This window comes from Homo sapiens, chromosome 18, assembly GCF_000001405.40.
Source record: "Homo sapiens chromosome 18, GRCh38.p14 Primary Assembly".
NCBI classification, from domain to species: Eukaryota; Metazoa; Chordata; class Mammalia; order Primates; family Hominidae; genus Homo; species Homo sapiens.
The window spans coordinates 69,094,722-69,117,365 of NC_000018.10; positions in this window are offsets into that span (position 1 = coordinate 69,094,722).

Below are 22,644 nucleotides of genomic sequence, written 5' to 3' on the forward strand. Positions count from 1 at the left end.
TTGCAGTCAGCCAAGATCGTGCCACAGCACTGCAGCTTGGGCGACAGAGCGAGACTCCGTCTCAATGCAAAATTAAGTATTCAACTTATAAAAGCAGTTAACAATATTTTTATCTTCCAATGTTCTAATTAGCTCATTTCATTGCTAGGAACATGTGGGACATACACACACAGGCACACAGAGTTGTATTTGACAGGCACCATCCGAATTGTTGGGACAGATTGCCAGGATCAGGGACACTTGTCTCTGGATATGTGTACTACGTAGCATTTGAGGTTTGGGCATATCAGTCACCTCATGCCTTTTGACACCAGGGGACCAAAAAAATGTATTAAGTTCTTTCCTTTTTATACAATACTAAAGTAGGAATTTGGTATTCTAAAAATGATACGCACTGTTTTATTAACGTGTCACCTTTTTGTTGAAAGTGTCCATGCATAATTTTCCCACTTGCTTGAAATGTGGTGTCCTAATTGATAGCCTTTTTGAAGTTAAATAAGCGTCAAATAGAGACTCAACGAATCTGTTATCACCAGGCAATTACATTTGGTTAATAACCTGGCTGTATTCTCTGTTCACATCGGACTGCTCTGTAAAAGCCCTGGCATTAATGGATTTTATTCAAAGTGACAAAGGAAATATTAAAATTACAATACAATTCCCTTTATCTTCTCTTATCTAAATAGGGAAGGCATCTGCATCATGGCATTAACTCACCCAGAGAGGAGAAAGTTAAAATACTATTATTTCTGCAAAATGACCTTTCTGCTGCAGTATTTGCTTGACTCAGAATCACAATTTGGCTACAAACTTGTTTTTTAAAATATATGGAGCTGGAAATGAGCAGGAAATCTAATTTTTGAACATTATTAAAACTTGTGCAGTCTTCTTATGTTTCTTATTCTTATCTCCTAATATTTAAAGCAAAATGTTGTCAGTGCTTTTTTAATATATTTTCATAGTTTGCCAAATATATATTAATTCTATTCTCCCAACCAGAATAAATGATAAAAACAAAAGCAAATTGGTAAAACTGAGGCTAAACAAAAAATAAATTTATAGTTAAATCTATAGTGCCTAGAATCTTCTTCTTTAAAAGATATTTGTTAAATGTTGATTTCAATAGAGTCAGTCATTCATTTCCATTTAGAAATTAAAATGGACAGATTTATGGCACTAAGAAAATAACTCACTTCAGCATCTCTTATAATTTACACCTATTAGACAGTACACATTATATACAGCAAAATTACCCCATTAAATACAAATTAACAAGTAATTAAATAAACAATAAAATCTGTATTTTGATGTCCTGCTCAATATTTTGTAATTAACATGAGACTCTGCAGTTTGGATAAAAAATGCAAGGCAGTTAAAAAAAATTATTGACACTTACTCTGCAAGGAACATTGATATTGTGAATAAATCACAATTAGTTTCAATCTAACCCTTTTGAAGCTTACATTCCAGTGGAAGAAGATATGTAACCTTAAACTTTCAGTAAAATGTAATAAAGGTATTCAGAGAATAGTGAGGGCCTAAAATTTTTTGGTTTTGGTTACACACAGGATGTTTGTGAATACAATCTGTATTAGTATCTAGAACAGCACTATTAGAAAAATGGGATCATAGTTTTGATTTTTTTGATGATAAAAAATAAATAACATTTGGTTTTCTTTCACATTTGGATGTGATATAACTTTCTATTCAACACAGTTACACCAACAGTGGTGACTGAATTTCAAGCAAATAATTTTAAAGTGATTCAACCATTGCATGTATCTTTTGATAATTTGATAAACATTTTGTAAAAAGTCCTTTTACAAAAGACTGAAATGATAATTTTCTTAGGAAGAAATACAAGTGTTTAAATTCAGATATTTATCAGAAATCATATCTTAAAATGATATTTATATAAATTTTTATGCCTTTAAGCAATTCAGAAAAAATTCTAAAGTTATTAGAAATCATTGCAATTTTAACAAAAATATTTTCAGAAATAAGAAATTGCAAATTTAAGGAACTCAGCAAATAAAGGATAATATTAAAGTATTATAAATAACAATGATACAGGATAAAATAGTAAATACATAATAATACTTATATAAAATAATATAAAGTAACAATAAAAACAATAACAACATCAAACAAGAGAATACCTTCCAAAAAGTTAATCGACAACATAGCTCTTTCATACTTAGAATTTATATTTTAACTATAGTTGTTTCAGGTATCAGAAAAGTTAGGTCAATATGTGAAAATACATAAAATTAAGGTGAAAATTTCTTAATATTGAAACCAATTTAATATTTTTACTGGCTTACTACATGAAGTATATTACCCATTCAGTGGTCCCTTCTGAATTCCTTGTCTAATATATTTCACATAAAAGGGTGAAATTTCCAATTTTTCCATGACAGCCTATTATAGGAATTCAAATTTGCTTCATGGCTTAACATTTTTCATTAAAGATTGTGGAGACAGTGGAGTTGAGTGGCTACCTACCAAATTGGAGGCAGACTGCCCTGCCACAGGTTAGTTTAATCACCTGGACAACTTAGTTGATTTTTCTGTGACTTAGTTTCTCCATATGTAAATAGGGATACTAATCATTCCTATGTTATTGTTGTGAGGAGTGAACGTGTTCATAAATGTATAGCGTATGGGGGAATACCTGGCATAAAGAAACTTTTGTGTAAGCATTAGCTGCTGCACTATCTGTACTACATATATATATATACACAGGCAGTGGTTTCCAAAGAGTTGTCCTCTGATCAGCTGCATCAGCATGTGCATTGTCACCTTGTAACTTATTAGAAATGCAAATTCTTAGGGCCCACCCCAGACTGACTGAATCAGAAACTCTGGAGGCGGAGCCTAGCATTTGTGTTTTGACAATATCTTGCATGGCCTAATTTAAGCACAAGTTTGAGAACCAGTGTATGAAGGGAAAGACAATGATGGTGTTGCAGATGAAGAAGAAGGATCGTATGACTCTAGTCAACATTGATCAGATTCTTTAGCTTTCCTAGAAAGAGAGAGAAAGGAAGGGAACAGATAATAAGTAGAGAGGGAGAGAGAAGAATGAGGAATGACAAGGAAGAAAATAAGTGGAAAAAAGCTGACTTTCCTACTTTCTTGCTTTTGGGTGACAGAAGTGATGTGTCCTGGGTGTCCAAGGCTGGTCAGTGGGATGAGGCTGGAGGGTAACATTATCTGTCAGTGTGCAGATTTCCTGGGGAGCAGACAAGCTATCGTGATCTACTTGTTGGACCAAGGACCAAAGCCAACACCACAGCTTTTCCATTCCCATTCTCTCTCCTTGCCCACGACTGTACAAGCTGCTCAGCTATAGAGAATGCTCCTTCCTGGAGTCTTAATTAAACAAAATCACTTTCAGTTTGTAGGAAGCATGAGGTAAGAATCATCACACACTGTATGATTTATAATTAATATGGGACTCAATATAATATGGGATTTATAATTAATATTTGGACAAAATTTAAATTAACAAGTGAAGTATAATATAACATTAAGGAATTTTATTATTTATATTTAAATATCACCTCTCTTATAGAAGCATGAAAAACTAAATCTAAGGAGCAGAAGTCAACAGGAGTTCACAAAATATTACACATATGGGTGTATGTGGCAGAAGATGTAATTAATGATTTGAGGGTTATTTTTCTTAGATTTTTATTTTCTTTTTTTAATAATGAGAAAAAAGTAGGATTTCAATATTAATGATGCCTTATATTTTTAAAGATGTTTTCTTATTTTTCTTATACTAAGAGCTGCTAAATCCTTTAAAGTTCAGTACTTTGTCACATGTAGGATAATACTATATTTATATTTCTATGAAATTAAATTACATTGCTCAAATTTTAATTATAGCTTAAACAATATTATTTTCACAGTTAATATATGAAGCATAATTTTTGGCAAACAAACCATGCTGAATATAATAGAAACTAATATTTGTATCTAAAGATGAACTATATGAATTCACATTAAATTCTTTTTAGAATAAAACTATACATATGAAGGGATGGAGAAATATTGCAAATATTCAATTTTTTGAACTTATTATCGTGTTTCCATACATCCCAAAGTAGGAAAAGATATTTTTGCCAGTTCTTTATAGTTTCTACATTATATATCTTATCAAGCCCAGAAAATTACAATACCCATTAAGCACACATTTGCACCTCTGATTTGAAATGTATATAATATTCCTCCTGTGATTTGAATGTGTCCCCAAGGTTTCTTACATTAAAAATGTAATCCCTAAGTTCATATATGGACAGTATTTGGAAGTGGGGCCTTTGCACAGTAACTAGAGCTAGATAAGCTCATCAGAGTGGAGCTCCCATGATGGGACTGATGGCTTTGTAAGAGGAGGAAGGGGGACTTGAGTGGACGTGCACGCTTTTGCTCTCTCACCATGTGATACCCTCTACCATATCATGGCACAGCAAGATGGCCCCTCCATAGATGCCAGCCCCTTGATCCTGGACTCTATAACATTCAGAATGCTAAGAAATCAATGTATTTTCTTTATAAATTACCCAGTCTCTGGGGTTCTGCTAACAACAAAAAATAGACTAAGAGAGTTTCTAAGTAAACATTTTTCCATATAGCTCTTTTATATCTTTAATATTGACAAAAAATTTGTCCTCACATAATCGATGTGATTTGTTTACAAAATGTTATTCAGTTTCGAGGCTTTGGTCCCAACGAGGACAAGATAAAGATCATGGAAGAAAAAATGGAAGATAATTCTTATGTGGCTGGATGTCTTCCCTGCTACATTTAATTTTAGCTTACTTAGTGGAACAACAATATTATTTTTGATGTTTGCTTCCTTTATCAATAACTTCTGGCTCAAATGATTTCAGAAATGTTTAGCATGACAGAAATCAAACAATATATCAAACTTATCTTATTTACCTATACCTATATTTTAGGCGAATTAAACCTCTAACACATTTCTTCAACTTTAAGTTTTTATTGTACCCTAAAAATATAAAAATATATGCTGTCTTAGGATGTGCTAGGTTTATGATTGGGAAAAAATAGTTTCAGTGTAATTGAGGTCCTTCAAGAGAGCATAAATAATAAAAGTTGCTAATCTTGGAAAAGTATCACTTCTGATGTTATCTATTATTGATTCAACATGCAATAATAAGATTTGAGACTGAACAGCTCAAGGTTAGAATTTAGTGTTTAAAGTTATATATTTATTATGGTATCTCTTATGCAAATTATTTTTAGAAAATGTAAAAATATTATTGTGGGATCATGTTCAGTAATATTCTGTTTTGTTACACATTACTGGTACTAACAATATGTAATACATAAAATTCATGTTTGTCTACACCCTTTTGGTACAATTTTGTCTAGCTTTTTGTATTTTTTTCAGTTGAATCTTTATGCGAATGGATTTTTCTATGAAGACGTGATTAATTCAGTATTTTATTTTCATTTGTTCAAATATCTAATTCATGGAATTGTTGTGAAGATTAAATTTGAGAATGTGCAACAAAAGGCTTGATCTTATCCCTAAGACACAGAAAAAACTAAATTATCAGTTATTAACATTGTGTCATATTTGTATAATTGAGGGGTTTGCATATTAGACTTCTATTGCTGTGTAACAAATTACCACAAATTTAGCGTCTTAAAATAACACTCTATTTTTAGCTCGCATGCTATAGGGCAGAAGGCTGGACACAGCATGGCTCAGGATATCACAACACTGAAATCAAAGGGCCAACCAGGCTGATTTATGCAGATGGGGAAAATTTTCTTTGAGGCTCGTTTTTGTTGTTGGCAGAATTCAGTCTCTGATCTTAAGACAAGTCCCCAGTTGTTGCTTTTTTTTTTCCCTCAACTCCATCTTTAAGCCAGCAGTGATGCACTGAATCATTTTTATGTGTCCAGGTGCTGAAATGTGCCACCAGCTAAGGAAAACTCTCTGCTTTTAAAAGCCTTGTGCAACTAGGTTGGGCACACGTGGATAATCTCTCTTTCAATTAATTCAAAGTCAATGATTGGTACTTAATTACATTTGCAAACAAGGGAACGCAGGTCACAGAGGCCAACTTGATATTCTGCCCATCACAGTCTCAAATTTTGTAAGATATAGTTTTGTTGTATTTCTAATTCATCTAAGGACCAAACTAAGTATTTCAAGAATTTATAGGAATGACAAAAATTGTCACTCTCTGAAATACACTGACAATTAAGAGCTGATTTACCAAGTAAAATGGTGAACAGGTTGACACAATAAGAAATTGACATGTTGCTTTCTTACTTTTGACAACTATCATTGGGAGTCAGATTTCATGAGATCAATTCATACAGAAAGTATACAGAGTGACACAAATATTACATGAAAAGTTCTTTAATGTCTTACTTTATAATATTAGAATGAAACTAAAGCTTGGTTAGCACAACTGGGAAAATTAATATCAATCATCATCTGATATGGTTGGGGTGTGTCCCCACCCAAATATCATCTTGAATTGTAGTTCTCATATTCCCCTTATGTCATGGGAAGAACCCAGTGGTAGGTAATTCAAACATGGGGGCAGTTCCCTCATGCTGTTCTCATGATAGTGAGTGAGTTCTCAGGAGAGCTGATGGTTTTATAAGGGGCTTTTCTCCTTTTGCTCAGCATTTCTCTCTCCTGCTGCCATGTGAAGAAGGACATGTTTTCTTCCCCTTCCACCATGATTGTAAGTTTCCCGAGGCCTCCCCAGCCATGCATAACTCTGAGTCAACTAAACTTCTTTCCTTATAAACTACCCAGTCTCATGTATTTCTTCATAGCAGCATGAGAATAGACTAATACATCATCGTTTTGTTATTCATAGTGGTATTTGTAATTAATCGTGGTATATGTTTTTCCATATGATGAAAGATATTTTGTTTAAGTTCCAGTATTTGAAAGGAAAAGTCAGCTCAAGTAATATTCCTTGACTCCAGAAATAACCAGACACTCCAAGCCCTTACAAATCACTCTTGGCTTTTGTTTAACCTGCACATATCTGGAAGGGAAAAAGAAAAGGCTTTTAATATCATAAATTGCAGTTTTATGATTTATTATCTTTCACCTGACTTCAGGAAGCCACAGTTCACATAGCTTATATACTCTCCATTCCCACACTCTTCTTGCACTAAGCTGTACTACATGCTAGGTACTGTGATACTTAAAAGAGAGACAATGAATAATATGGCATAAATGCTACTTTTAGAGAACTTACAATTTATTTTGGAGATAAACATGAAAACAAAAATCAATCTTCAGTGTGAGAAAGTGAATACGTGAAGTGCAGGAATATAGGAAATGCTTCAAACTAAAGAATAGTTCATGGCTAAAAGAACAAATATGTATATTTATACCAACGAGGACGAAATACATCCAGAAATAGAAGGCAAATGATTTTGATGCATTTCACAGACATCAGTCTCCTGGGGCACAGAGCAACACAGAAATGGATGAAGTAAAAGGTCTAAAGACTAAAAACAAGGAAAAAATAGGACAGCATTTTAAAGAAAGACATAGCTTAGGTAAAGATATTATGACACAGTAAAGCATGAACCATCCAGGGTATGTGGCCACGATCAATGCCAATTATGTTGGGTGCTGCCAATTATGCAAGGAGGAATTTAAATCAGACTTAAATCAAGACATGTGACCCATGGGATTGAAGAGAAAGGCCAAGGCCATTTTCAAAGTGCCATATTAAAGGTTGTAGTTTACCTGCAAGGTGAGTGGGTCTCTAAACCAGGCTTTGAAACATGTTCACTTAGGGAGATTTAAAATTTGGATTACTAGACTCCACAGCAAACTGGGAATTTATTTTATTTTTAAAAGTTTTCCAAATAATGTACCTTGATGCCGTCAAACCCCAGAACAAGATTTGGGGAATACTGTTACAGGTGATTAGGCTGGATATTCTGCATCAGACTTCAAATAATGTTTCTGCCCTTCTCCGCTATGACTGTTGGGCTGTGAGGCTCACCTCTGTGGACTATACAATACTTGTCCTCTTATATTCTGAATAGTTGTCAGGTTTGAACAAAGGGAGACATCAGTAGTAGATCAGAGGGTGGAAGAGAGAAAGACTAAGGTACTGATCCCTCTTCTCTCTTCCTGTTTAGCTTTGATTCTTCTGATGGTGGGAGAATGTTTTCTACTGCTCCTGCCAAGCAGGTCATCTGCCGAAACCCCACTTTGGCAGACTCCACTAAAGCCAATTCCTCCCATAGCCTTTGAAGTCTGTGGGTGGCTTTTAGATAATGTTAGATCCTTACTTACTCATTTCTTCTTGGTTCTCTCAATCAATACTACGTTTACTGAATTGTTTTCAGTTAAGCCTTTCTGAGTCATCACTGTTTTTTGCTTGGATTCCAACAGATACAGTGATGGTTTATGAGCATAGGGTTTACACAATCAGACTTGTGCTGGGTGAGATCAGAAGTAGCAGCAGTGTGAGGGCTCAATTAAGGTAGGAGGAACTTAAATCAGGATGCCACTCACAAGACAATGACAAGATTCTAGGTAAGAGACAGCTAGTTTCTGGAAATTGGATTCAGATGATATTTAGGACTTAAAATCCCCTGAACTCTATTACTACTGAATTGACAGACAGTGGGGGAAACAGTGAGGGAGAAGGCTGCATTACAGATAACCCACCTGCTTTACAATTACACTACTTGTGTGTGTGCATGTGTGAGTGTCTAGCTATAGACATAGACATTAAAAGTGGAGCATGTTGTATTTGGAGAATGGTAACATATGTAATGACTTTATTGTTAGAAATGGCAATGGCAATATCTGTAGTATTTCCAACATTCAGATGGAAGTACAGGAGCCAAGAATAGAGGCCAGAGTATTTGGCGAGGAGATACGGTTCATTTTATGAACGATACGCCTTCCACAGGCATGTCACACGTACCTGAGAGAGGTATCAGGTTTGTTTTTTATGTTTTTATTTTTTTTTAAGTAAGACTGCACTTGATGGATGTTGTCACCGTAAATAGTACAAAGACTGAAGCTGCATAGTATAAACTGAAGAGGACCCCTGTTTTCCGATCCCCAAATATTTTATCTGAAAATATCTAAAACCATAAGTTTATACAATATTTTCCAAGTTTCTAAACTTGGAACAGAAGGCTCAAGATGTGCTAGGTAACTCAGTCACTGCCATGGCTGCAAGTAAAACCACAGTGCACTGATACCAGAACATTTCTTGGTAAAGCACTATCCATGCTATGGAGGGTGCCAATTCATGTTTTAGATGTATTTTGCTTGTTGTTCAGTTTAGATTTTCAATATCTAACATAAGTATACTTGTTCTTATGTGTTTTTTTTTTGTAAAAAATAAAAATAACACATTGCTTTCATCTTCTTGTTTATATAGCGCCTACATCAAAACACAGTTCAAAATGTTCCTCTAAGTTCTGTTGTGTTTAGAAAAGAAAACAGATTCTTGCATAAAGCAATGCTTTGATGGAATCTTTACGCCGTGAGAATGTTTCTGGAAAAGGTTAGATGCTCAGAGTTCATTACTTAACACAGAAGCTCTTTGCCTTGATTATACAGAGATAATTAACTATGCTTTTCTACTGCTATTCTTCAAATAGCATGTAATAATCATGACTAGTGACACTCAACATGTTCCCTCCTTTTGCAGTGCATTTATTATAATGACTGTGGCTACATTTTGATTACTATGGGTGTAGACTGAAAAGTATTCATTTGTTTATGATCATTATAGTGTTTCCCATCATGCAATGTCTCTCAATGTTAGTATGACAAAATCAAAAGGTCTGTTGGTCCTGAGCTTGCAGCTTAGCTATATGGTGGATGGTCCAAGCCCTTCCTCTGTGATGCTTACTATGCATGAACTACACTGGCCGGCCATAGGTCCTTGAGGGACAATGAGATTTTAAACATTATCCCTAGCCTTAAAAGGCTTACAATCTAGTCTCATGACAAGAGCCTATGCTACTCTGAAGAAGTTTTAAATAACATATATGAAGCATGAGGGGAATGGTAAATTGTCAAAACTGCTATACTCTGACAAGGATCAGGAGCAGTAAATAATTTAACTGAGGCTTGAACAAAGACTGAGCCTTGGGCGTGTGGTTTGTAGAAAGAAAGATATCCCACATGTTCTTGTTTTTACTATGAAACTGTGGTTACCATTCTTAGGTGTGGTTTAAATGATACCATGGGAATGAATTCCACATTGTGTATTAATTAGTAACTGATTTTAATTCAACACATTTATGAGTTAAGGAGTAGATATTACATCTACATGGTAATAATCGATGACTGCTTAATTTAAATGATAGTTTTCTACTTCATTAATATACAGAAGTTTTACTTGGTAATTTCTAATCTGAAAGACCAATTAAACATGATGCATATTTCTGTCAAAAATCTTATAGAAAACCCATTTTATATGGCTTGATAGTGGTTTTTTTTAGTACATATATAAAAATTTGTCTATTTATAAATAAATAATCTGCTCCAGTACAAAATTTAGGGTGACTAAAAAGTAAAAGGACTGAGATAAAATGTCATGGATTATTTTTGAATATATGGGGAGTTATTCATACAATGACTTTCATTGTGAAATACAGAATGATCTGCTGTAATCATTTACTTATTAGGATTTTTCAACTAAGCAAAGTGCATATGGAAGAATAATTGAAAGGATGGGAGCTGACATGTATTAAATGTGAAGCTGAATGTATGGTAAATAGAATATCTCAAAAATTGTGAATAAGGTAACTACTAAGTTTTATCCTTGAGACAGTACTTAAAATAGTGCCAGCTTGGTTTTCTCTGATGAATTAAATATTTATTTTATAATAATGCTTACCTTTGGAATTAAAAACATCTGAAACACAGGTAATTATGAAACTATATAGTGAATTTTCCTATAAGTTTAAATGCATTAGATATCAGAATTTTCTTTCATTTGCTCTTTTACTGCCTAAAAATCTATTATTTTTATTTCTGTATTGCATAAAAGTTTAGAATTTTTGAATTATCTGTTTAGACACTGGGGTGTTTTGTCTCTTGACTTGACTTTGCCTGATACACTCAGTACATATTATCTCCAACTACTGATCTTTTATTTTTTTTTTGGATGGAATCTCACTCACTATGTTGCCCAGGCTGAAGTGCAGTGGTGCTGGAGTGCAGTGGCACTGGAGTGTAGTAGTGCTGGAGTGTAGTAGTGCTGGAGTGTGGTGGCAGTGGAGTGCAGTGGCGCTGGAGTGTAGTAGTGCTGGAGTGTAGTAGTGCTGGAGTGTGGTGGTGCTGGAGTGTAGTAGTGCTGGAGTGCAGTGGCACTGGAGTGCAGTGGCGCTGGAGTGCAGTGGCACTGGAGTGTAGTAGTGCTGGAGTGTAGTAGTGCTGGAGTGTGGTGGCACTGGAGTGTAGTACTGCTGGAGTGCAGTGGCGCTGGAGTGCGGTGGCGCTGGAGTGCAGTGGCGCTGGAGTGTAGTAGTGCTGGAGTGCAGTAGTGCTGGAGTGCAATGGCACTGCAACCTCTGCCTCCCAGGTTCAGGCAGTTCTCTCACCTCAGCTTCCCAAGTAGTTGGGATTACAGGTATGCACGACCACACCCAGCTAATTTTTGCATATTTTGTGGAGAAGGGGTTTCTCCTTGTTGGCCAGGCTGGTCTGGAATTGCTGACCTCAAGTCATCCACCCACCTCAGTCTCCCAAAGTGTTGGGGTTACAGACAAGAATCACCGCGCTGGGCCCAACAAATAATTGTTTTGTTTGCTTACAACATAAAAGAAGGTCCTTGAAATGAGTCCTCTTAATAAGTAAAACTGTAGTATCTAAAGTATTAATGAATCTATTTCAAGAGAAAGACTATATTTTATTATGAACATTATACATTAGTATTATCACTATCATTTATAAGGGGGATACATTTTAGAGGTGCTAAATTCTGTGATTTTTTTCTGCTGCAAGATATGAATCTTCTAAAATGTAATTTAACACACTTCATCAATAAAGTATTTCCATGTTATAAAACAAAAGCTGAAGTAAACACTATATTTAGTTGCATTATATGCAGTTTCTTTATATTCTGGCATAAAATCCTTATGTTGTTGAAGGACCAGCATCAGTCTGCAGACCATATTTGGAACAGCACAGTTCCAGGGAATCCAAGAATGGAGAATTTATTCTAATATCTGGTTGAAGATTTTAGACTTATCTGTATGATTCTTCTAAAGGTTTTCCCTTCCATCATTATAAAGTCTTCTGAAAACATCATTAAATTAATGCTTATGGAATTCTAGCTTTAACTAATTGTAATTATTTTTGAATCCTCGAAATTTATTCTGCAATGAGTATAATGCTTTTTTTGAAAGACATTTCCAATTTTAGACAACCGCTTAATATATTTCGCTTAGTAATGATAAAAGTAGTGTCTCATCTCCCATTCTCCTGGTGTATGTGGTATCTTTGCCTATCTTTACCTTGGACGGAGGCCATTGTTTCATCAGTTGTTACCTGGCTAAATCTGTTTTTTTGTTTTTTTGTTTATTTGTTTGTTTGCTTTGTCATTGTTCTATTCTTTCCCAATTTTAATTGGCCCTGTTTGGTTTGATTAGTGTCTGCAGCTGTTTGTGAAAATGAAGTTGCTCTGTCCCATTGCACTTTATCCTCCCATTGCAATGGGCAAGCATTTCTGGCAATTAGATTATTGTTTACTTCAAAACCCTAAACTAAGCAGTCATTGTCAACTTTCAGAAGCATCAGTGTTAATTCACAGAATACCTGCCATCTGTTCGTTTCATGGGGTCATAACAGATCATTTCTGAACTTGACTGCTTTTTCTATCATTTTACTGAATGATGTATCAGAGCATCCCATAATGGTTATCAAGCTATGAAGCTATCAAGCAATACAGCTACATTTTCTTCATTTATATACCTGTGTTAATTCCCTGCTAAAACCCTCGAAACCAGTAAACAATCTCAGCTTCATAAACAATCAAGTAGAACTGATTCCCTCATGTTCCCAAACATAAAAACACAGAGCTCTCTCTACATTCACCACTGGAAAAATGAAAGCTTAAGAAATGAAAACTTTACCTCAGTTCTTAAGTTTATTCAGTTACCGTTTCCATATAAAGGTGTCTGAATTGATCAATTTTACATATTGACAAAAACTTACAAATTCAGATTTAAAATGTGTATGTTCATTTTTATCTTTCATGCAATGCTCTATTTACAGCATGAAAGAGACATTTTCATCTTTGCTTTCTTAGGTTTATAAACTGTGCTATGAACCATACAAATACACTTTTTTAGTCATAGAATCCTGCTTGGTTAGGTGCAGCTGATAAAGATGGTTTCTTTGAAATTCTCTATCTGCCTTGGCTTTCAGTCGAATTAGTGCATCTTTTCATTCTTGGGAATATGCGGACCTTTATGGTTGTTATATGTCTCAACTATGAGGCAGCCAACACTCCCCGCTGCTTGCCTTTCCACCCTTTCCTTATGCTGTGACATCCTTTTTTACAGGATAGGTCAATTTATAGGTTTTATAGTCAATTTACAATTTACAGTCTTAGGTCAATTGTCTGAAGTTCATTTTTTCCTATTAATAGTATACCCAGTCTTGCTTCTTAGGATTTTCTCTGTGATTCAATCAATATCAAAGCAATTTTGTGGTTTGGTTTGATTTTGCTTTTCCTATATTTACTCACCCATATAATTCTCTGATCACTGAGATTTGCCAGCATAATCTAGCCAGGATGGCACATAAATATCTTCCTATTCCATTTCTGAATACAGTACAAACAAACATACACTGTTTGAATAATAATTCAAACAAATGGAAAACAGATGCTATAAATACCTGTCTCTGTTGCATTTATAATGTTTAAGAATTAACATCTTAATTCTTAAATAAGTATACATGTACAATTGTATGTGTCCATACATATTTGGATATTAAACACATGGAAAATTAGTATTTTCCTCTTTTTGTCTATGTGAGTTCATTATGCTTTGGCATTTGTGAAATTGTTTAAGAAGCTATATAATAGATGGTCCAAATACCAGCCCCATAGGTATCACCCAGGAGCTTATTAGATGGAAATTCTAGGACTATTTAAAAAGGCTAATTAAATTAATATTTAAGTTCATTATACATTTATTCAGTTCCTATTTTATGAACCATGTTAAAATACAGGTATATAAATAATTCATGATACACATTGACAGAGGTCTATAAATTCAAATTTAGAATATGAAGTGCTAATGTATTTTTATTTCCTTTATTATAAAGAGAATAAATGACAAGCAGAAAACTTGGGCAAGAATGAAGGTGTTAGAATTTTGTGATTTTAGCTTAATTTCTAGCACTTGGAGACAGCTGCTTGTCAATTTACATTCTTGAAGATCCACGCCATTTAAATGTTGCTTAATATTTTACCAGGTGCACAAAGCCCTCTCAAGTGCAATTAATTAAAAGTGCATGAATGCTGTTCAATTTATCAACATCCATGGAGTCTCACTAAAACAAAAAATCAAAATAAACACTTCATTAAAGATAATTGTCCATCTCTATTTTAATGTGAGAATTTATCATCACTGTCATAATTAAATTATACTATGATTACATATTTTATGATTTTTAGTCTTTCCTGTATAAAATTAAATTTGCCTTTATGGAATACAAATTTGGATATTAAACACATGGAAAATTAGTATTTTCCTCTTTTTGTCTACATGAGTTCATTATGCTTTGGCATTTGTGAAATTGTTTAAGAAAGCTAAATAATAGATGGTCCAAGTACCAGCCCCATATGTATCACCTAGGAGCTTATTAGATGGAAATTCTCAGACCCATCCAGTCAAACAATGGAAATTGGGAGGATTCAGTTGGATTTGTACAAGCAAGTAATAATTGTAGGTTAAAAATACACAATGTCACCATTTGATTTTTAATTTTTATTTTAAAACAAAATTTGGTCCCTGAATTCTTTTATAATGGAAAAATTTTTGTGAACATCACTAACTGAAATAAAGCTTCCAATTATTTAAATATGTTGACTAACCAAGTGAGAATTCTTCCCCTTTCTACAGGACACCCGGGCTTTCTGCCAACTGGTTCCTTTAGGGCTTATGACTTCTATATTTTTGGTGGATAAAACTAAAGTTTGGTAATGGTTGCATGACTCTCATATTTGCTAAATATCATTTACTTGTACTACTAAGATAATTTATGGTATGTAGACAATACCGTAGTTAAATTGTTTTAAAAAGTGAAGAAACAGACAAACATAGTTGGATAGTTTACTACTGGATTTTCCTTATTTCCTTTAAATATTATATTTCACAGGTTTGGAAAATCATTATTTAATTGTATATAAAAACTTTTTTTCTCTACATAGAGATATACATAAGTAATCGCTGGAATGGCCAGAAAAACATCTTTGAATGTCAAGAAACTGAGATATTTACTTGACAAAATGGAAAAATTTACATTATTTTCAAGGGCACAGAACAAAATTGCATGCCTAGTAACCTGTCATTTGTTTTTCTCGGAAGCTTACTTTAGTACAACTAGTAAGCATATTTTTCAATAAAATAAAGATGTGGGAGACTGTGTGTGTGTGCGTGTGTGTGTGTGTATCTGAGTGTGTGTGGTTAAGTAATCTTACATCCTTTGAATGTGGTATTAGGAAGGAATTAAAAGTTAACAATCTAATTTTGGAAAGGGAATTACAATAAAACTATTAATATGAACATAAAAGTGTTCAACCATCCTTTATTAAGACAAATCAACTTTCAAATTAATTTCAAGAGGAAAAGCTAATATTTTGCTGATAAGCTATAATTTTCCCTTTAATAATTATCTTTTAAGAAAGTCACATTTTGTTGAAATGACTAATTAATTCACTGCACTGCTTTCCTAATAGCAAAAGAATCATGGTAATTAAAAGGAGATAACAAGAATTTTCACTAAAAAGAATAACTTGAGTGGTGATAAATTGGTACTGCCTTCTACAGTGTCAATTTAAATTTAAATCTACACCCACGATATTGGCCACCTCCTAGAGAAGCAAGATGGGATTTTTCTACTCTAAGAATTAAAAAACATGTTAATAATGATGCAAATATACTGTGATGTAAGGAACGTTAAGATTAATCATACCTCCAAATCCCCTTATATCTTTGCATTGAATTCAGACAAGTCACAAGCAAAACACTTCTCTAGTGTCACAGGCAATGTGCATATAACTATGTACAGCATTCTACCAGTACCATTAGTATCAAACTAGTTTTTATATCTTATGCTTTGTGATCATTTTAAATTTTTACCCGTAACTATCATGGTGCCTAGGGTTTTTTCACAAAATTCGAGCATCTGTTTTGTTAGCCCAGTTATATAAACAAATAGTATTTTGTTCTACATGAGGGCAAAAATATTTTATCTGAATTGATAGGGAATGACAGTCACCGTACCTGTAGGGAATTGCAACCATACTGACAATTAAATGGTATTATCAAGTCTATGGAGACAGGGTATCTGTGGCACATTCAATGAGGAAGAGTCTTAGCTGTGAAAACTGGAGTTTATCTACCACAGTGAATTTATCTGGCAGTATACAGAAGGGATTATTCAGATCTAAGTTGAATTCCCCTTCTGATGAGTGTTTTTGCTAGGGAGTGAAAACAAGAGCCTGTAAAATTTTATCACGTTTCTATAAATTTATCCGTTCACCAATTCCTCTCAGTGACTGAATTTGGAATTTAAAGATATGAGATATGTCCTAATTCCAAAATTCTGAATTTCCATAAAATATATTGTCATATTATCATTATGCTTCGACGAAGTTTAGATCATTATCATCTGAGTAACTTTTGTTGTATTTTTTCTGGTATCCACAATAATATCTAATTATTAGGAGATTAATTTGCATGACCAAAACAACAACAACAAAAAACAAACAAAAAAATAAAAGCCGCCCTGGGTAACTCAGTTTCATGCCGTTGGCAGAAACAGAGACTTCCAAATTTCTGCATCTTGAGCACATGGCTTAAACCAATTTATATTCCTTGATAACTGCTAGAGACTGCGCTGTCTGCCATGTGTACATTTCATAGAGAAGGAAGTTAAAAGTGGAAAAATATGCCCTGTTTTTCTAAGACAACTTTCTGGAAGTGACAACACTGCAGCCACCTCATTGGCCAGAATTTTTTTTTTTCACAAGGCCACATGTGGCAGCAAGGTGGACTGGAAATTCTCTTCTCTGTTACAGGTAGCAATGTACAGGAATAAAAACTGGGATATCACTACTAATGAAGAAAGTGAAAATGAATATTGACAGGCAACAGCGCTTTCTGATGCAGTCAATGCTTTTATTATAGCGTTTATATTTATCTAACTCCCAAAAGATACTTCTTCCATTTTGGCATATTTAAAATAAATATTACTTTAAAATTCCATGAACACAACTATAATTTGAGACTGTTCCTAATTTACCATATACATAAAAAGATATTTTCTATTTTGCTATTAACATAAAATCTCAATACCCACACCTAAATAACTTTCCCACCTTCTTCTCAAGAAGGAAATGCCATCTCTCTTTTCCTCAGACCTCTGTGATTTTCTCCCCCAGGCATATGGACTTTATGCTTTTCTAGGTTTATTCCTCTCTCTGATGTTTTGAGAATAAGAGAGTGTGGTCTGTTTGGGGGAAATATCAGAGCCTACATTCCAAAAGGCTGCCATTTTCTTGCCCTTTCCTCTGAAAATTAATGTATTCTGAACAATCTTGCCCATCTGTTTGTACAGCAGAGAATGGGTTTCCTGATTTATTCAAAGCCTCTTTCCAGTTTGTTTTACCATCTTTGCCTTTAACTCAGGAATAGAACAGAGTGTATTTTGCATTCCTTGCTCAGTTTTAATAGAATAAAATGAAAAGTTTAAACAGGGTTAACCCTTGTTTCATTATCATTTCTCAGCACGAAAGACCAATGAATCCAATGTGTGTCTTCTCTTTTGTGGATAAGACACCACCCCAGGGTCTGTGTAATGTCCAAACAGGTAAAGTAAACCTAAGCAAAACCTATGATCTTGTGTAGATTTGCAGTGCTCCTATAGTGGATGTCAACAGAAAACAGATTTTATAAATACCTGTCTGAATTAAATTTAAGCATATGTACCTTGATATATGCAGGTTTTTTTACATAATCAAACATCTTTTATACTTGGTTCATAATTGTGAAAGCATTTGTGTGTATATAAATTCATATAATATATAGTGTATATTTAATATGTATTAATCCTAAGGGTATATTATGTGAGCCTATATTTGCAAGTAGCCTAGAAGTTTCTGTTAAGGATACTGCTTATGGCCAAATAAATATATAAGTCAATGCATCATTTAGAAAATCGGTAAGTTGGTAAATATTTAGAACTAAATACTTCTAAATACATAATATGTAAGCATAATTAAATATAATTAATATATGCTATCAGTATGTACATATTTGATAGATAAGTAAAATAACCATAGCATTATATAGCATAAAATATGTTTAAGCAGATGAAGCATATGGAAAAATACCCACAGAGCCTAGCGAATGCACGTGACTATTTTTGGGTGTACGAATATTTGTAGGGGTGTGTGTGTGTGTATCCGCATCTGTGCTGGCAAAGTCTCCAGACTGGGTTTTGTCTCTAGCCCATACTCCAGGAAGAAGTTTTATAAGTCAGTTAACTAAATTATGTCTTGGAGCCTCAGTTTGCTAGTCTACAAAATGAAAGGATTGGCTTACTTGGATAAACTGTAAATGTTTTTCTTCTTTGAAGTGTCTGTGGCCTTTAAGAAATGGCATCATCATACAGAAGAAGAAAAACAAAGAAATATGTCATTTCTGAATGATTGTTGGACATAATGATGTCTAGAGATAGCCATCCATAAATAATGTTATTCTAACTCACAGGCTGAGTGCAGCCTAGGATCTTAATTGAGAACTCCCTATACTTGCTCATATAGCCTGTCTTCACGCCACACATTTGGATCCAGACGAAGTTACTTTACATTTGCAACATAGCATAACTAGATGGAATTATAGCACAGTGAGCACCTAACTCCTCTGAGGATTTACTCTTGAATTGTTCTTCATTTTAATAAAACAAAAAAGTCATTCTTGTCATTTCTTTATTCCTGCAGATACAATGTATTAACGTATAAAATTTTTGAAATTTAACCAAATTATACATCTTTTTTTGAGGATCAGTTTTATACTTCTTTGACTCTTCCATATAGTAGGTCCTTGAAAAAGATGAGCAAATATAAGATTTTTTTCAATCAATGACATTGACACAATGTAGAATGTGTATTGTCGTAAATTTGTGCAGTCATATGTGAAGAATTGTAGAAAACATTTGTGTGAAGACATTTGAATAATGAATATGAATTAGTTTATGTATTGCTTATCCTAACTCAGGACAATCTTTACTTCCATATAGAACAGAACAGATGCCATCCAATTCACAATGATACCAAATTCTAAGCCATATTTATGCCCTACTTTCTTCTGGTATTTTTAATGGATAATGAATGTAATTCTTCAATAATTTTAAAAGGATATTGTCTCTTGCTAGATGAGAAGTGAAAAAGAAAACATAAAGACAAACTCTCTAATTACCTTCTAGCGTGTTTTAGTGAAAATCAAGACTCTGAAGAGACTGCTTTTCTAAAATCTGAGATTGTGAGTGCTATTGAGAGTATAGCATGTATTATTTTGTAATTAAAAGTGCACCCTCTCCCTGTGCAAATGGAAGGATGATAATAGAACAGGCTAAGCCAAATCCTGGAGAAGTTTTTGGTAGCCAAGAGGTGTCATTTGATTGAGGAACAAAGCTGTGTCTATTTCTTGTTTAAGGATAGTTTAATCACTCCAGTGATGCTTAAGTAGGTACACAGGGACTCTCACCATGGCCTACTCTCCCTCATGTGAAGAAAAAAAGAAATGGGGATGAAGACACCGAAGTGTACTCCCACCTTCATGTAACCTGCAAAGCAACACTAAGAACTGCCCAACATGGATAATATTGTGGCGGTAATACACCTGTGAAACAGTAGCTACATAAAAATGTTTAATCATCTCATTTATATCACTCCATCAGGATTGTCCTATGACTTTAAGATTACTTCACAGTAGGTACTTGATAAATAAGTATGCATTAAATTATTTAGGGATTAGTGAGGTGCTTTTACCAATTTTGAGGGCAATGTACTTTTTCACCTTTAAATCTTACACTGATGAGTGAAAGTTTGCTTCTTTGTAAAATGAGGGTTTCTCAAAATGTTCTTTCACTTTAAAAATTGCATTGTTTTATCAACTCTCTTCCCCTATTATCTACAATACGAAGCAGTCTTCTTGAAAGCAGTAGAAAAGAAGCCCTGGGTCTCTTCAAGAATTATTATTGAAGTGTCCTGACCCTGTTCAGAAAGGACACACAAAAAAGAAGAGGAACCAAAAATTTCAGAGAACTTTCACTGCAGCCGAGAGAGGCTAAGGTTCAGAGAAGACACATCACAGCTGGTATTAACGGTAATGGTCACCCTCAGCAGAATTGGAGACTTCCATGTATTCTGGCTGAAATGGACCTCAGCGGCTATTTGTTCCTCACCATTTATGGTTTATCAATAACGAAGCAAAGGCCCAGAGACATTAAATGGCCTGTGCAACAGCGAAGCATTTTGTAGTATTGCTTTGTCTTTTAATTACTGATTTTAGAAGTCATTTAACTTCTCATTAAAAACAAAAGGAAACAGAACGGGGGATTTTTGTACAAGCGACCCTTTGCCATGACAGGTCTATTCTATAATAGACTTTCACAGAGAGATGTTGTCTTGAATAAAAATAGCTCACCTCTCGAAGACTTAGAAAACTAAGCACCGCAGAAAGTGCTATAAACCAGTAGCAGAATTAGGTGATGGCTATTTATAATTGTATTTGAAAAAAGACAGAAAAGCCAAAATAAAATGTAAAATCACCCATGATTCCACAAATTAAAAAAAAAAAATTGTGACCTGATGAAATTGAACTTATTGAGGAAAAGTTTAAACTTCCCATTTCAGTCTGCATGTACTTGCACATATGAATATGAACAGATGTGTGTATTTGTGCACATGTGTGCTCAGAGGTAAATAAATGGAAATTGGGGAAAATAGATTTCACTTTTCACCTATAAGCTGATATTTTTCTCAGTCCTGGAAACACAGGTGTATAATGCATGAAAGGTAAACAAACCTAAAAGTCACCTTAAATGTTTTGTGCCTTAACTCGATATTTGCATTTCAGTGTTGTCTTTTTACCTCCGTATTTATGTCCTAACCAGGATACACATGTAGACTCCACTCCCTGAACAACTTACAAGACAAGAAAGCAGCATTGGTAAAGCCTATATTAATTCTAGTGTGCTGATTTCATTATTGTATTCTCTTAATATATCATTGATGATGCAACATTTTCTTGGGAATATTATTAGAACCAGGTCACCATTAACAGCTTTCAAAGCACTGCAAGTGGATAAAAGACTTCCTATGAATCTAAAGTGAATTAATTTGCATAATGAACTTTTCCATTCTTCCAGGGGCAGTGTATGAGAATTATCTGAAGGCTGTTAAACTATGTTCCTGCTTTGTTTCAGTGCACCTGAAAAGTGCAAAATTATCAGTCTCATCAAATGAGTGGATACTAAGCTATTCAACTTTCTAAGATCCTTACATCTTTCAATGAAGTTCTTTTAACAAACCTGTCTACGTTATTGCCAAAATTAACATAGGTGAACACGTGGAAAATGCCAAAATTTTACTTTTACTCAGAGTGAAGTGAATAGCTAGGGTAGCAGCGTAACCTGGCATATTTTATAAGGACCAAGGTGTCTGAGACCGAGAATGGGGAACAGATGTGGAAGCAGAAATAGTAGTCAGGAGGTCATGTGCTAAGCAGGAGAGAGCACGTGCAGTAGCACTGCAGTGACTGGGAACTAATCAGACATGGGCCATTTTAAATATTTAACAGGTATATGTGTGATGAGAGAAATAAATGAGTTACACTGACTCCAAGTCTTTGTCCTGAGCTCCTGAAGGGATAAGATGGGAAAGGCAGTAGAGAGATTCAGTTATGGATAGACAGACCAGGAGGTCAGCTTTGGAAATGGACATGATGCTTTAAGAGGTATATTTGACTTTCAAGTAGAGAGTTTGAAAAAGTCATCATGAATTATGTGAATTTTGTTTATAATCTTACAAAAGATTACATTCATGTATTTGTTGATAAGGACTGAAAGTACTGATAGATTAAATTATGAAATAATATTTATTTATTATTATTCCCCTTCTTCATGGCCCATTCATTTTTCTCCCACCATGAATTAGTGCCATGAAAACAGGACACTTATGGAATTATTTCTTACTCTATGAGTGCAATATATTCATACAATATATGGATTCTCTTTTGCATATATTTGTCAATTCTTGCCCTATAATCAAGGAATGTACTGTTTTCTCTCTCCTTAAAGGAACTTTTCGTCAACAGGGAACAAGGCAGTATTTCTAG